This window comes from Homo sapiens, chromosome 11, assembly GCF_000001405.40.
Source record: "Homo sapiens chromosome 11, GRCh38.p14 Primary Assembly".
In the NCBI taxonomy this organism is placed as follows: domain Eukaryota; kingdom Metazoa; phylum Chordata; class Mammalia; order Primates; family Hominidae; genus Homo; species Homo sapiens.
In genome coordinates, this window is record NC_000011.10 from 108,346,293 (window position 1) to 108,362,064 (window position 15,772).

A 15,772-nucleotide genomic window follows, 5' to 3' on the forward strand; every position below is an offset into this window, starting at 1 on the left:
CTAAATATCATCACCTAGTGATTAATACTTTTTAATAGAATTTTGTTTTCAGAATAGAAACCATGAGATATATTTAAATATTTTGTGTACAATATATATTTTGACTTTTTTTCCCTAAGAAATTAGAATAGGTAGATAGTATGGTTAACAAAATCCTAGAGTATGAGAACTAATGTAAACATTAGAGATCATCTAATCTATTTGTTGTTTTTTTTTTTTTTAACTAAAGACAACTCCCTCCATCACTTACATACTATACCCCAGGAAGGCAGGGCATGTATGTTTTGAAAGAGTTCCCAGGTAATTGTGAAACTCTCTTCTACATAGAGAATCACTAATCTGATACAACTAGTTTATAAACAAGAAAGTAGGCCTAGTTAATGACAGAGCAAGCCAGACACCCAGTCATTCTGATTCCCTACCCAGTGTGTTTTTTTGTAATGCCATGTGATTTCTCCCATTAGTGCATGTCATCATCTGTCTTAAATACAGAAATGCAGTTTTTTGGGGGGATACACACCTGGTGAAATGAATTAATGATTAATTTGTGTTAAATATAATTCATCAAGGAGAAGAAAGTTTCACTGAAGAGTGAAGAGTTTATCCATAGACTTCTCATTTTATAAGTATGTTCAATAAAAATTTGAGTACATATAATGCACAGCTTTGACCCAGGTAAATAATGGGTCTCAACTTTAGCCACAATAATTTTTTAAGTACTAATATTTTAAAATGTGTGCCTATTAGTAAAGAGAAAATTTTTTTAGCAAATCATCTAGGATTTGTAAAATGCAATATGCATTAAAATAGCTGGCAAGATTTGAGTTAAACTCAACATGGCCGGTTATGCACATCATTTAAGTAGGCTAAAAATCCTAAACTACTTAAAGATTATACCAAGTCAGTGGTCTTAATTGAAATTATGGCTATATATTAGAAAGAGATGGAATCAGTGATTTCAGATTGTTTGTTTCTTTTTTCTCCAGTTGGTTACATACTTGGACTTGGTGATAGACATGTACAGAATATCTTGATAAATGAGCAGTCAGCAGAACTTGTACATATAGATCTAGGTAAGTAATAAAATCTATGTATCTATTCTTTTTAGTAAATATTTGGTCATCATGGAATGTTGTTTGCCTACCAAGATATTACAAATATAAGAGACAGATAAATTGAAGCAGTAAATATTGGGTTTTTTTGTTTTCAGCATAAACAGTTGTCCTAGAAGAAACAGTTAACTCTGCCTGGGGTACTGAGTGAAACTTAATAGATGAGGTGTCTTTTGAGCCTGGTCTTCAAGAAAGAAAGAAAGCATAATTCAGACAGAAGATAGAGCAGATTCAAAAGAAGGAATCAGGGCTATTCCACCAAAACAAGGAGTAATTTTAAGATGTAGCATGTTGTGGGAGTGGTGAGACATTAAATGTGTCTGGAGTGAAGTAAGCCTGTAGTTGAGTCGCTTGAGAGAGAGATTGGTACTAGACTGTAAAAAGCCAGGCTAAGGAGTTTCAACTTCATTGCATTAAACTATAGGAAATAAATGAAGGACATGATAATATTTTATTTTCAGAAATATAATTTCAGGAGCACTTTGGGGAGTGGTATTGGCAGCAGGAAGAAAAATTAAGGGATATTGTAATAGTTTAGATGAGAAATGATGAAGATTTATACTAAAGTTGTAGAAACCAGAATATTGGATTTGAGGGACATTTTTGTAGTAAACTGTACCAGTGATATTAGATGAGGAAATAGTGGGGGAGTGGGGCCCCCAGATAACTGAAGCTTCTAACTAAGGAATATATCAAGTTTTGTAAATAGTAAGAAAGTGATGAATTTAGTTTTGCTCATTATTTTGAAGTATTAATGGAATTTCTAGGTGGAATAGACAGTTTAATATATAAGAAAGAAAGAATATATAGCTTCTATGTATATATATAGACAGTTTAATATAAAAGAAAGAGAATATATATAGCTAAGGAATATATCAAGTTTTGTAAATAATAAGAAAGTGATGAATTTAGTTTTGCTCATTATTTTGAAGTATTAATGGGATTTCTAGGTGGAATAGACAGTTTAATATATAAGAAAGAAAGAATATGTAGCTTCTATGTATATATATAGACAGTTTAATATATAAGAAAGAAAGAATATATATAGCTAAGAAATATATCAAGTTTTGTAAATAATAAGAAAGTGATGAATTTAGTTTTGCTCATTATTTTGAAGTATTAATGGGATTTCTAGGTGGAATAGACAGTTTAATATATAAGAAAGAAGTGTGAATGTAATGTAAAGAAGTGTGAATGTAATGACAAACTTCTATTAAACAGTATTAATCACTAGGTGATAATTTTTAGAGGTTATATGCAAAAGAACAAAAATAATTAAAGGAAATAAGTTATCACAGGTTTCATTATTTTCCAAAGAAATTCTCAGAAAATAATATATTGAGAGGAGAGAAAATATGCCATATTCACTATAAAACAAAGAAGAAAACCCTGTCTTTTTATTATTTATTGAAGTAGGAGAATTCTCTTCTGCATAAGTTATAAAAAGGTAGATGCTAAGAATCAGGATGAATATGAAACATATGATTTAATAATGAAGCTGGTTTGGTTACTAACCACATCATCACTATTATCCCCCTGCAACTCAGAATGTAGAAAAAGAAGTGTGAATGTAATGACGGAGATCCAGAATCTTCAGCAAATAGATTTCAGTTGAAGTCACTGGGCTGGAGGAGGTTCTGATCTCACACATCATCCGTGATAAAGAGACCTAAAGATGAAATCATAAGGGAAGTGAGCCTTGGAAAGGCTGAGCCAGAAAAAAACTGAGAAGTACTCAAAGGAAGTCAGGATCTTGGAAGGCAAGAGGGGAAAATCTTTTATGAAAGAAGTAGTGCTCAATAGTATCTGATACAGAAAGGTCAGAGAGGATGAATGCTGAAAATAGACCTTTGAATTTAACAAGTAATCAATCCTAGAGGCCTTGGAAGTCCCCTTTGGATAGAATGGAGGAAACCATACTGTAAAAAGGCAAGGACTGAATGGAAGTTAAGGATGTGTAGATTAAGAATGTGGAATCTGCCAGGCGCGGTGGATCACACCTGTAATCCCAACACTTTGGGAGGCCAAGGCAGGTGGATCACGAGGTCAGGAGATTGAGACCATCCTGGCCAACATGGTGAAACCCCATCTCTACTAAAATACAAAAAATTAGCCGGGCGAGGTGGTGGGCACCTGTAGTCCCAGCTACTTGGGAGGCTGAGGCAGGAGAATCACTTGAACCCAGGAAGCAGAGGTTGCAGTGAGCTAAGATCATGCCACTGCACTTCAGCCTGGGCGGCAGAGCAAGACTGTCTCAAAAAAAAAGAATGTGGAATCTTCCTACAAGAAGTTTAGAAGGGAAGGGAAGGATGGCAGAGAAATTTGCTGCAGGAATGAGAGACACATTTGGTCCTTGCTTTTTTAAGATAGGAGAGGTTTAAACCTGTTAGATATTGAAGATACAGGAGAAAAACAAAAGATAATTGAAATAGCAAGGGAAATCATAAAGTACGTGAGTCTGATAGCATTGGCTTTAGATTGGAGGCATGTTAGCTTTTCTGCTGAGAGAGAAGGAAAAGTGATGCCAATAGGAAAGTCTTAAGCTGGAGAGGAAGGAGTATGAGGGAATTATATTTGCTATTGTGTTTTTGCTGAGAAATAGAAAGCATGCTCATTTGCTAAGAATTGGAGGGATGGTAACTGGCCTTAAAAGAACAAATAAAATTCTAAAATTTACCATGGAAATGAGACCAAGACCTGACTAGAAAGGGATAAATAAATAAGACATGCCAAGCAGTTTAAGGGGCACTTTCAATCCTAAATTTGTAGTGGAGCCAATAGGGTTGTTGTATGATTTTCCAGCAGTCCTCAACATCCTTGGAGCTTAAGTTGTAGTTTAAAATGGGAGATGTGGTGGAGGGACAAGGGGACAAGGAGATTTGAAGCACTGATGAGAGTAATCAAACTTATTGTCTCTACCCCTGGGCTGAGTTAGGGAAAGAAGAGGGCTAATAAACTAGAAATCTCAGTCAAATTTGAAGACTGTTTAGTAAGAATAAGGGGTAGAAGGAGAAGAGGTTTTGATTAGAATGTACAATTTACAATGTCTAAGAAGCAGTTTTAGCAGACTCATTTCTGGAGTACAACCCATATGAGTGGTTCATTAAGATAGAATGAAATTGAATTCCATTAGAACAGAGACAGTCACGGATATTATATGGTTTTCCCCAGAATGAATTCTAGAGTTGGGACAGAGGGGAAGATTGTGAGCTAGGTCCATGCCAACATTCAGCGAATGTGAGAGAAAACCTTACAGGTTTACAGAGTAAACGTGAAGATGGAAGGGATTTGTTAGAGCTAGAAGGTGGGGATCTCAACAGAGGAGCCAGACTTTATCTGAGAATGAAAGGAGAGTGGTCTGGAAGATGCAAATTAGAGGTAGGAGTATGCCAACCTGAGTCCATTCAGGTCGTGCTAAAAGCATCTATAAATGAGAAGGGTAAATTGGTACAACCCCTTTGGAATATTGTTTGGCATTATCCACTAAAGCTGACTTTATGTATATCCTGTGACCCATCAATTCCACTCCAACACAAATGCATACATATGTATAAAAATGTTTATAGTAGCATTATTCATAATAGCCCCTAACTGGAAACAATCCAGATATCCATCATAGGTAGAATGGATGAACAAATTGTCGTATATTTATATTCTCTTTGTATATAATGAGATTGAATGAATAATAACACACAATATAGAAGACTCTCACAAATATAATGCTAAGTGAAAGATTCCAACATAAAAGAGTACACATGTATAATTCCATTTACATAAAATTCAAAAGCTGATAAAATTAATGTATAGTGTTAGAAATCAGGATAGTGGTGACCCTTTGAAAGAGGTGATTAGTGACTGGTAGGAGGGACTGAAAGGGGGCCTCTGGAATGCTGGTAGAGTTCTGTTAACGTGGATTTGTTCACTTTGCAGAAATCCCAGTGAGTCACACTTGGGTGATTTGTATACTATTCTGTGTATGTCTGTTTGGTTACCTGTTGCTGCATAACAAACCACCCCAAAATTTAGTAGCTTAAAATCACAATTTATTTATTATTATCTCTCATAGTCTGTTGACTGGGCTCAGCTGGACAGTTTTCACTTAGGATCTCTCATGCAGCTGCAGTTAGCATCTGGGGCTGGAGTTATCTTAAGACTCAGCTGGGCCAGAGTTCATGATTGCTTCTTCACTTACATGTCTGATGCTTCAGCACTCCCATGTGGCCTCTCTGTCCACAATAGTGTCCTGGACCTACTCAGCATCTTGGGGCTCCAAGGGGAAGGAAGTGGAAGTTAAGGGCTAGGCCTGCAACTTGCACAGTATCACTTCCATCACATTATGTCATCACATAGTCATGTCATAGGGTCCATCCTGGTTCTTCCCTGTTTCTGGGACTCCAGTAACCCTATGTTAGGCCTTTGCAATGTATCATTTATACTGTTACCTGCTAGTCTATATTTTCTAACCTTTTTTTCCTTTTTTCTGACTCACTCCTTGGTGTCAGTGGACATATCCGGGGAACCTGGACTTTCAGCCCTACTCAGCTATAGCAAGCCCTTTCCCTATTGAGTGTCAGTGGAGGCCAATTGGGGAATCTAGTCTTCTGCCCTTACCTAGCAGTAACAAGGTGGTGACTCCCAAAGGCATTAAAGGCAGAAGTTTAAGGAAGATCCTGAGTCTCGTAATAACTAAAAGGTGTAGGTGTCAATTGAAAATCATTAGGCATACCTGGAACCAGGAAAATCTCAACTTTAATGAAAAATGGCCACCTGTAGGTGCCAACACTGAGATGACAATGATGTTGGAATTATCTAAGATTTTAAAGCAGCCATCATAAAAACACTGAAGGAACAATTACAAACATGCTTGAAACAAATTAAAATATAGTAAGTCTCAGCACAGAAATAAGTAGTCTCAGTATAGAAGTAGATATAAAGGAGAACCAGATGGAAATTTTAGAACAGAAAAATATAGTAAATAAAATAAAAAATTTCAACTGCAGAATGAGGAGACAGAAGAAATTATCAGTGAATAGAAGACAGAGCCGTAGAAATTACCCAAGCTGAGCAACAGAGGAAGAAAATTAAGAGGAAACCTTCAGCATCTAGGGCTAAACAGAGTTCCTAGACTTGATACCAAAAGAACAATCTTTAAGAACTCTCAAAACTTAACAACAAAATCTACTTATAAAATGGCCATGTACTACAAATGTGTATAGCAGCTTTATTCATAATAGCCAAGAACCGGAAAAATCCAGATGTTCTACAGTGGGCAAATGCTTAAACAAACTGTGTTACATCCATGCCCTGAAATACTACTCAGCAATGAAAAGAAACAGAACTATTGATATACATAACAATTTGGATGAATCTCCAGAGAATTAGGCTGAGTGTAAAAAGCTATTCCCAAAAGGTTACATACTGTATGATTATTCCACTTCCATTTATATAACATACTTGAAATGACAAAATTATAAAAATGGAGAACAGATTAGTGGCTGCTAGAAAAATAGGGGGTCAGAGGGCTGGGTGATAGGCTATGGGAGGGAAATAGGTGCAGCCGTAAAGGGCAGTATGAAGGATCCTTATGATAGGAATATTATATATCTTGACTGCATCGATGTCAGTAGTAGTATAGTTTTGCAGGACATTACAGTTGGGGTGAAATGGGGAAAAGGCATAAGGGATGATCTTTTCTGTATGATTTCTTACAACTCGAAGTGAACATATAATTATCTCATAAAATGTCATTAATTTTTTTTTTTTGATGGAGTTTCACTCTTGTCGCCCAGGCTGGAGTGCAATGGCACGATCTCAGCTCCATGTATCCTTCACCTCCCAGGTTCAAGTGATTCTCCTGTCTCAGCCTCCCGAGTAACTGGGATTATAGGCACCTGCTACCACACCCAGCTAATTTTTGTATTTTTAGTGGAGACAAGGTTTCACCATGTTGGCCAGGCTGGTCTCTTAACTCCTGACCTCAGGTGTCAGGCCTCCTCAGCCTCAAGGTGCTGGGATTACAGGCGGGAGCCACCACACCCAGCCTAAAAATTTTTTAAATATAAATATATCATCTCCATTTTAAATTATACCAGTAGTTACTTCATTTTTAAAAATCACCCTTTAACCTAGATTTCTCTAGTTGGGTTAAGAAGTAGTTAGGTTATTTGGATTTGAGGTGGATCTCACAGACAGTGACAAAGATGAGGAAGGCAGCCAGAGCAGAAGTAAACTACTGTACATACTAGTGTTCATAGAACGTAGGTAACATGTGGTTTCTTGCCTTTGTAAAGTTCACATTCTAACTGGAAAGAAAGTAAATTAGCTGTCAAACCTCCTAACTTCACTGTATTCTTTACTTTAGGTGTTGCTTTTGAACAGGGCAAAATCCTTCCTACTCCTGAGACAGTTCCTTTTAGACTCACCAGAGATATTGTGGATGGCATGGGCATTACGGGTGTTGAAGGTGTCTTCAGAAGGTAAGTGATATGAAGTAAAGGAGGGAAATAATTTTTGATGTCAAAATTACATGGGCTGGGCATGGTTCTTTGCACCTGTAATCCCAGCTGCTCAAGAGGCTGAAGTGGGAGGATTGTTTGAGCCCAGGAGTTTGAGTCCAGCCTAGGCAATACAGCAAGACCCTGTATCTAAAAAAATACACACACACAAACACACACACACACACACACACACACACACACACACGGGTTAGAGATTTGTATAGATTATAGAATTTAGTGCTAGAATCGTATTCCAGTGCCTTATCAATACTAAGGAAAAGACCCTGGGTAAAAGCAATAATAGTTCCTCTTCCTTCCACCCACCTGGGACCTAAGCCCATGTAACATACATACTGTTATTCCAAACCTCCTCTGGAAGCATCCCACCTTTACTTTTAACACCTCTATCCTGGCTGACTCCTTCTTAATGATCCAAACTACTATTGGGTGCTCATCACTGTGCATATAGAAGAGACTACATTTTTATTTATAGGAGCTTGTGTTCTAGTATAACATTGTGCTACTAAAAAAGCTTTGCAGTTCCTTGTAGTTTTCCCAGCATAGGTCTGTGTACTCAACTTGGATTGGGGCAGATTGCAGTCAGTGTAAACTAATAATTGCCACAATAATCAAAGACTGAGAGCTGAGCCCAGTGGTGCATGCCTGTAATCAATAGTGTTGTGTTATTCTTGTAAATGCCAAGCTTGTGAAATAGTCAAATACATATTTGTATTCATTTCAAACGTCTAATGAAAGCCCACTCTGCCAAGTATTATGCTATTTTGAGATACAGATATGTAGATTATTAAGCATAGGCTCAGCATACTACACATGAGAGTATACAGATAAAGATACGTTGACAACATTGGTGTGTAACAAAATCCGTATTTATAATGTGTTTGACTCTAGATGCTGTGAGAAAACCATGGAAGTGATGAGAAACTCTCAGGAAACTCTGTTAACCATTGTAGAGGTAAAGTATTTTATAAGGAAGACTTTATTTTTTTTCTTACCAGGTAGACTGTGTATCTCATCAGGAAGTCACTGATGTGAAGAGCACTGCTTCATTTTAACATAGGGGGATGTGGCTGGGCAGCAGAAAGGAGGAGATTGTGCACTTAGCCTTTTCACACATCCAAAAATACTGGTTTAGAAATGCCTTCAGCCCCCTTGAGTTTCTTGGAATGTTAGAGCATTGTAAGTAGTCTCTAGTTTTCAATTCATAAATCAATTCTTTGACATTTAGATATTCCATATGGTATTATTATTTTCAGAATGGTTTCCATTAGGGTTTAAGAAAAATCAGAAATTTATATCTCCTTTTTCCCTGCTCAGGTTCAGAACTAATTAGTCAGACAAATGGAGATCAAATTGTCAGCATCATTACTAGAGGAACATGGCTTAGGAATGAGGGCCAGACTAGTTTACTGCTGGTGCTACCTCAGTACCTCTCTGCTGTCTTAACTTTGGGACAGCTCACCTGAATAGGGTTTGGGCCTGCAGAGCAAACACATGTAATCAGGATCACTGCCTTGTCTTGATCCAGGGCAGAAAAAAGGAAGTCAAACAAATTTCAGTGTCTGTGCTGTTAGTACCTATGCCAGTCATTCACCAATCTGGTAAGGGTATGTGAGACAAGAAATCAGGAGTGTGGCCTCCCCAGGGAAGCATGGCAGGTAGAGTGCAGTATGGGCTTGCCACTTTTCCACTACTCAGCTTTTCTTCCTTTAACCTGATTTATGTTGGACTGGCTGCATGTTAGTATTACTTTTACTGCATTTAAAAAACATTGATGCTGATCAAATTCAAACCAGGTTTCTAGAGATGGGGCAGGAATATGTGCATTTTTAAAAATCTCTCCTACTGTTCAACTAGGATATGAGAACTGTCTTAATTCATTGGCATTAACCATTAAGCCTGTGGTCAATAAGGGTGGGGCTTTATCCCTTGGAAGATGAGTAACAGTCCATCAGGGTGGTCCTGTGTGCACCTTTATGAACCGAGGCATCTTTATAGATCTCCTTTGGACTGCAGATGGTAATACAGATTTTGCTACAAGGAGTTTGCTGAAATAGGTCCCAATAATACGTTGGTAAAATTAAATCCAAGGCTGTGCTATTCCCAAGGTTAAAAATACATTCTTTTTTCTTTTACCGATTTCAAATTCTGTTCATACATGTTGTCATTTGTTACAGTTTGCCATTGGTTCTGCAGTAAGAATAAATGATAAGAAAATAAGCATGATGTGTAACATTTTAAAAAAATAATACATGGTAACATGGATGCCTCAATAATGTCGAAATTAAACTCTAAAGTTATATTATCTTGCACTTTTTCATGTAAGAAAAAGAGGGCTGGGCGCGGTGGCTCATGCCTGTAATCCCAGCACTTTGAGAGGCCGAGACAGGTGGATCACCTGAGGTCAGGAGTTCAAGACCAGTTTGGCCAACATGGTGAAACCCCGTCTCTAATAAAAATGCAAAAATTAGCTGGGCGTGATGGCGGGCACCTGTAATCCCAGCTACTCAGGAGGCTGAGGCAGGAGAATCGCTTGAACCCAGGAGGTGGAGGTTGTAGTGAGCTGAAATTGCACCATTGCCCTCCAGCCTGGGCGACAAGAGCAAGACTCTGTCTGTCTTAAAAAAAAAAAAAAAAAAAAGCCCAAACTTTTCAAATTAAAGAGTCAAAGCAGCTTAACATATTCTTTAGTATTTTACTCTACCTAGTTTCAGTCAGAAGGGATTTTTATGCTAAGGTGGATTTGGGAGTTTCTTCCAGTACTTGTATCCTACCTAACACTCACCAGAAGAAGGTAGTTCTTTTAGGGCCTCAGAAATCTTACTAGTTTAATGCCAAACTGCTTATGGACTTCACTTTTTAGAGTAGTAGGAGATCAAATGAGAGAAGTGACAGTGGCCAGATCCTTTGCCATTGTAAGGACTTTGGATTTCCTTTGAGTGAGGGTTTTGAGTCTGAAAAGTGATTTGCATCTCCACCTACAATAACTGTCACCTTTAAACACACCCTCCGGGAGGAGGAGCCAAGATGGCCGAATAGGAACAGCTCCGGTATACAGCTCCCAGCGTGAGCGATGCAGAAGACAGGTGATTTCTGCATTTCCATCTGAGGTACCAGGTTCATCTCACTAGGGAGCGCCAGACAGTGGGCGCAGGTCAGTGGGTGCACGCACTGTGCGCGAACTGAAGCAGGGCAAGGCATTGCCTCACTTGGGAAGCGCAAGGGTCAGGGAGTTCCCTTTCCTAGTCAAAGAAAGGGGTGACAGACGGCACCTGGAAAATCGGGTCACTCCCACCCGAATATTGCGCTTTTTGGACCGGCTTAAAAAACGGCGCACCACGAGATTATATCCCGCAGCTGGCTTGGAGGGTCCTACGCCCACGGAGTCTCGCTGATTGCTAGCACAGCAGTCTGAGATCAAACTGCAAGGTGGCAGCGAGGCTGGGGGAGGGGCGCCCGCCATTGCCCAGGCTTGATTAGGTAAACAAAGCAGCCGGGAAGCTCGAACTGGGTGGAACCCACCACAGCTCAAGGAGACCTGCCTGCCTCTGTAGGCTCCACCTCTGGGGGCAGGGCACAGACAAACAAAAAGACAGCAGTAACCTCTGCAGACTTAAATGTCCCTGTCTGACAGCTTTGAAGAGAGTAGTGGTTCTCCCAGCACGCAGCTGGAGATCGGACAACAGGCAGACTGCCTCCTCAAGTGGGTTCCTGACCCCTGACCCCCGAGCAGCCTAACTGGGAGGCACCCCCCAGCAGGGGCACACTGACACCTCACACGGCAGGGTACTCCAACAGACCTGCAGCTGAGGGTCTTGTCTGTTAGAAGGAAAACTAACAAACAGAAAGGATATCCACACCAAAAACCCATCTGTACATCACCATCATCAAAGACCAAAAGTAGATAAAACCACAAAGATGGGGAAAAAACAGAACAGAAAAACTGGAAACTCTAAAACGCAGAGCACCTCTCCTCCTCCAAAGGAACGCAGTTCCTCACCAGCAACGGAACAAAGCTGGATGGAGAATGACTTTGACGAGCTGAGAGAAGAAGGCTTCAGACGATCAAATTACTCTGAGCTACGGGAGGACATTCAAACCAAAGGCAAATAAGTTGACAACTTTGAAAAAAATTTAGAAGAATGTATAACTAGAATAACCAATACAGAGAAGTGCTTAAAGGAGCTGATGGAGCTGAAAATCAAGGCTCGAGAACTATGTGAAGAATGCAGAAGCCTCAGGAGCCGATGCGATCAACTGGAAGAAAGGGTATCAGCGATGGAAGATGAAATGAATGAAATGAAGCGAGAAGGGAAGTTCAGAGAAAAAAGAATAAAAAGAAATGAGCAAAGCCTCCAAGAAATATGGGACTATGTGAAAAGACCAAATCTACGTCTGATTGGTGTACCTGAAAGTGATGGGGAGAATGGAACCAAGTTGGAAAACACTCTGCAGGATATTATCCAGGAGAACTTCCCCAATCTAGCAAGGCAGGCCAACGTTCAGATTCAGGAAATACAGAGAATGCCACAAAGATACTCTTTGAGAAGAGCAACTCCAAGACACATAATTGTCAGATTCACCAAAGTTGAAATGAAGGAAAAAATGTTAAGGGCAGCCAGAGAGAAAGGTCGGGTTACCCTCAAAGGGAAGCCCATCAGACTAACAGCAGATCTCTCGGCAGAAACCCTACAAGCCAGAAGAGAGTGGGGGCCAATATTCAACATTCTTAAAGAAAAGAATTTTCAACCCAGAATTTCATATCCAGCCAAACTAAGCTTCATCAGTGAAGTAGAAATAAAATACTTTACAGACAAGCAAATGCTGAGAGATTTTGTCACCACCAGGCCTACCCTAAAAGAGCTCCTGAAGGAAGCACTAAACATGGAAAGGAACAACCGGTACCAGCCACTGCAAAATCATGCCAAAATGTAAAGACCATCGAGACTAGGAAGAAACTGCATCAACTAACGAACAAAATCACCAGCTAACATCATAATGACAGGATCAAACTCCCACATAACAAAATTAACTTTAAATGTATATGGACTAAATGCTCCAATTAAAAGACACAGACTGGCAAATTGGATAAAGAGTCAAGACCCATCAGTGTGCTGTATTCAGGAAACCCATCTCACGTGCAGAGACACACATAGGCTCAAAATAAAAGGATGGAGGAAGATCTACCAAGCAAATGGAAAACAAAAAAAGGCAGGGGTTGCAATCCTAGTCTCTGATAAAACAGACTTTAAACCAACAAAGATCAAAAGAAACAAAGAAGGCCATTACATAATGGTAAAGGGATCAATTCAACAAGAAGAGCTAACTATCCTAAATATATATGCACCCAATACAGGAGCACCCAGATTCATAAAGCAAGTCCTGAGTGACCTACAAAGAGACTTAGAATCCCACACATTAATAATGGGAGACTTTAACACCCCACTGTCAACATTAGACAGATCAACGAGATAAAAAGTCAACAAGGATACCCAGGAATTGAACTCAGCTCTGCACCAAGCGGACCTAATAGACATCTACAGAACTCTCCACCCCAAATCAACAGAATATACATTTTTTTCAGCACCACACCACACCTATTCCAAAATTGACCCCATAGTTGGAAGTAAAGCTCTCCTCAGCAAATGTAAAAGAACAGAGATTATAACAAACTATCTCTCAGACCACAGTGACATCAAACTAGAACTCAGGATTAAGAATCTCACTCAAAACCGCTCAACTACATGGAAACCAAACAACCTGCTCCTGAATGACTACTGGATACATAATGAAATGAAGGCAGAAATAAAGATGTTCTTTGAAACCAACGAGAACAAAGACACAACGTACCAGAATCTCTGGGACACATTCAAAGCAGTGTGTAGAGGGAAATTTATAGCACTAAATGCCCACAAGAGAAAGCAGGAAAGATCCAAAACTGACACCCTAACATCACAATTAAAAGAGCTAGAAAAGGAAGAGCAAACACATTCAAAAGTTAGCAGAAGGCAAGAAATAACTAAAATCAGAGCAGAACTGAAGGAAATAGAGACACAAAAAACCCTTCAAAAAATTAATGAATCCAGGAGCTGGTTTTTTGAAAGGATCAACAAAATTGATAGACCGCTAGCAAGACTAATAAAGAAAAAAGAGAGAAGAATCAAATAGACACAATAAAAAATGATAAAGGGGATATCACCACCGATCCCACAGAAATACAAACTACCATCAGAGAATACTACAAACACCTCTACGCAAATAAACTAGAAAATCTAGAAGAAATGGATAAATTCCTCGACACATACACTCTCCCAAGACTAAACCAGGAAGAAGTTGAATCTCTGAATAGACCAGTAACAGGAGCTGAAATTGTGGCAATAATCAATAGTTTACCAAACAAAAAGAGTCCAGGACCAGATGGATTCACAGCTGAATTCTACCAGAGGTACAAGGAGGAACTGGTACCATTCCTTCTGAAACTATTCCAATCAATAGAAAAAGAGGGAATCCTCCCTAACTCATTTTATGAGGCCAGCATCATTCTGATACCAAAGCCGGGCAGAGACACAACCAAAAAAGAGAATTTTAGACCAATATCCTTGATGAACATTGATGCAAAAATCCTCAATAAAATACTGGCAAAACGAATCCAGCAGCACATCCAAAAGCTTATCCACCATGATCCAGTGGGCTTCATCCCTGGGATTCAAGGCTGGTTCAATATATGCAAATCAATAAATGTAATCCAGCATATAAACAGAACCAAAGACAAAAACCACATGATTATCTCAATAGATGCAGAAAAAGCCTTTGACAAAATTCAACAACCCTTCATGCTAAAAACTCTCAATAAATTAGGTATTGATGGGACGTATTTCAAAATAATAAGAGCTATCTATGACAAACCCAGAGCCAATATCATACTGAATGGGCAAAAACTGGAAGCATTCCCTTTGAAAACTGGCACAAGACAGGGATGCCCTCTCTCACCACTCCTATTCAACATAGTGTTGGAAGTTCTGGCCAGGGCAATCAGGCAGGAGAAGGAAATAAAGGGTATTCAATTAGGAAAAGAGGAAGTCAAATTGTCCCTGTTTGCAGATGACATGATTGTATATCTAGAAAACCCCACTGTCTCAGCCCAAAATCTCCTTAAGCTGATAAGCAACTTCAGCAAAGTCTCAGGATACAAAATCAATGTACAAAAATCACAAGCATTCTTTTACACCAACAACAGACAAACAGAGAGCCAAATCATGAGTGAACTCCCATTCACAATTGCTTCAAAGAGAATAAAATACCTAGGAATCCAACTTACAAGGGATGTGAAGGACCTCTTCAAGGAGAACTACAAACCACTGCTCAAGGAAATAAAAGAGGATACAAACAAATGGAAGAACATTCCATGCTCATGGGTAGGAAGAATCAATATTGTGAAAATGGCCATACTGCCCAAGGTAATTTACAGATTCAATGGCATCCCCATCAAGCTACCAATGACTTTCTTTACAGAATTGGAAAAAACTACTTTAAAGTTCATATGGAACCAAAAAAGAGCCCGCATCGGCAAGTCAATCCTAAGCCAAAAGAACAAAGCTGGAGGCATCACACTACCTGACTTCAAACTATACTACAAGGCTACAGTAACCAAAACAACATGGTACTGGTACCAAAACAGAGATATAGATCAATGGAACAGAACAGAGCCCTTAGAAATAACGCCGCATGTCTACAACTATCTGATCTTTGACAAACCTGAGAAAAACAAGCAATGGGGAAAGGATTCCCTATTTAATAAATGGTGCTGGGAAAACTGGCTAGCCATATGGAGAAAGCTGAAACTGGATCCCTTCCTTACACCTGATACAAAAATTAACTCAAGATGGATTAAAGACTTAAACGTTAGACCTAATACCATAAAAACCCTAGAAGAAAACCTAGGCATTACCATTCAGGACATAGGCATGGGCAAGGACTTCATGTCCAAAACACCAAAAGCAATGGCAACAAAAGCCAAAATTGACAAATGGGATCTAATTAAACTAAAGAGCTTCTGCACAGCAAAAGAAACTACCATCAGAGTGAACAGGCAACCTACAAAATGGGAGAAAATTTTCGCAACCTACTCATCTGACAAAGGGCTAA

At 39.1% G+C, this 15,772-nt stretch overlaps 2 protein-coding genes across 36 annotated transcripts in view; one reads left to right on the top strand and one right to left on the bottom strand.

The window, feature by feature from the left end:
* ATM (ATM serine/threonine kinase) overlaps positions 1–15,772 on the top strand; it is a 146,036-nt gene that overhangs the window by 123,226 nt on the left and 7,038 nt on the right. For 14 of the 15 annotated variants that reach the window (XM_011542840.4, XM_047426977.1, XM_006718843.5 and 11 more), the window contains 3 exons: positions 987–1,073; positions 7,474–7,588; positions 8,519–8,582. In XM_011542840.4, coding sequence (XP_011541142.1) covers positions 987–1,073; positions 7,474–7,588; positions 8,519–8,582 — 266 coding nt within the window. Of the gene's footprint in view, positions 1–986; positions 1,074–2,659; positions 2,762–7,473; positions 7,589–8,518; positions 8,583–15,772 lie in introns of those variants that run through there. The other variant, XM_011542843.3, reaches the window with a different exon arrangement.
* The window catches only part of C11orf65 (chromosome 11 open reading frame 65), a 161,363-nt gene that overhangs the window by 37,774 nt on the left and 107,817 nt on the right, over positions 1–15,772 (bottom strand). The window contains exon 11 of one of the 21 annotated variants that reach the window (NR_147053.3): positions 8,623–9,817. The exons of 18 other annotated variants lie outside the window; for them this stretch is intronic. Coding sequence is in view for 2 of the 3 variants with exons in the window: in XM_047426478.1 (XP_047282434.1) it covers positions 2,763–2,781 (19 nt within the window). In the remaining variant the exon portion in view is untranslated. Of the gene's footprint in view, positions 1–985; positions 2,782–8,622; positions 9,818–15,772 lie in introns of those variants that run through there. 2 more of the 21 variants (XM_047426478.1, XM_047426474.1) reach the window with 2 other exon arrangements.